A 705-nucleotide genomic window follows, 5' to 3' on the forward strand; every position below is an offset into this window, starting at 1 on the left:
ATCATATATTTCTCATCAAAAACTTTGTGTTTTCCCACTGTACAAAATCTACATAAAACATATCAAAAATTTTCCACAATATAAGCATAATTTACATTTCAAGCACCAACCAAATTGGATGATGTATTTTTCCCTAATGATGTTTCCATGGTCACTGAATGAACACATATCTCTATTTGGCCAGGGGACTTTTAGAAAAGTATGGCAAATAATCGAATAACTTATTTTTGTAGAGATATCATCTTATTACTTTTGCACCAACCTAATATACAACACATGTTTTAATATTCTTTTGTGACATTTGTTTCCTCTATCATGCAATGACATTACACGGTATTCCACATGTTTATATCTATAAACTCTTCCACAGACATGAACCCTGAATGACTCAATGACCACAGAAGATATTTTTATCTTTCTCTGAATTAGGAGGTAAGAAGAAGGGAACATATCTGAGAATATAAGAAACTCAGCATCCATTTTGCTTTGTTTCTAATGCTAGTTTCCTTTACTTCAGCTGCTTGTGCATATTTTATAAGACTCCATCCCAAATCAGTAAAGCTTTTATACAAAATTTAATATAATTTAGTAGTTCTTAATTCTGCTACTACTAACAGTAAATAGGGCAAAATCACTCCAGTTAAATGCCAAATGTGTAATCAAAATTTTAAGTTTCCATAACAAACTGATACCATTGTTTAATGA

At 30.6% G+C, this 705-nt stretch overlaps 1 annotated feature.

The window, feature by feature from the left end:
* Nucleotides 279–479: a silencer, noted in NCBI's record as "peak3749 fragment used in MPRA reporter construct". NCBI's record gives its function as "represses an SCP1 promoter by STARR-seq MPRAs in K562 erythroleukemia cells {active_cell/tissue: K562}" and the evidence as "EXISTENCE:reporter gene assay evidence [ECO:0000049][PMID:32103011]".

The sequence above is a fragment of the Homo sapiens genome, chromosome 2 (assembly GCF_000001405.40).
Source record: "Homo sapiens chromosome 2, GRCh38.p14 Primary Assembly".
Taxonomy (NCBI): Eukaryota; Metazoa; Chordata; class Mammalia; order Primates; family Hominidae; genus Homo; species Homo sapiens.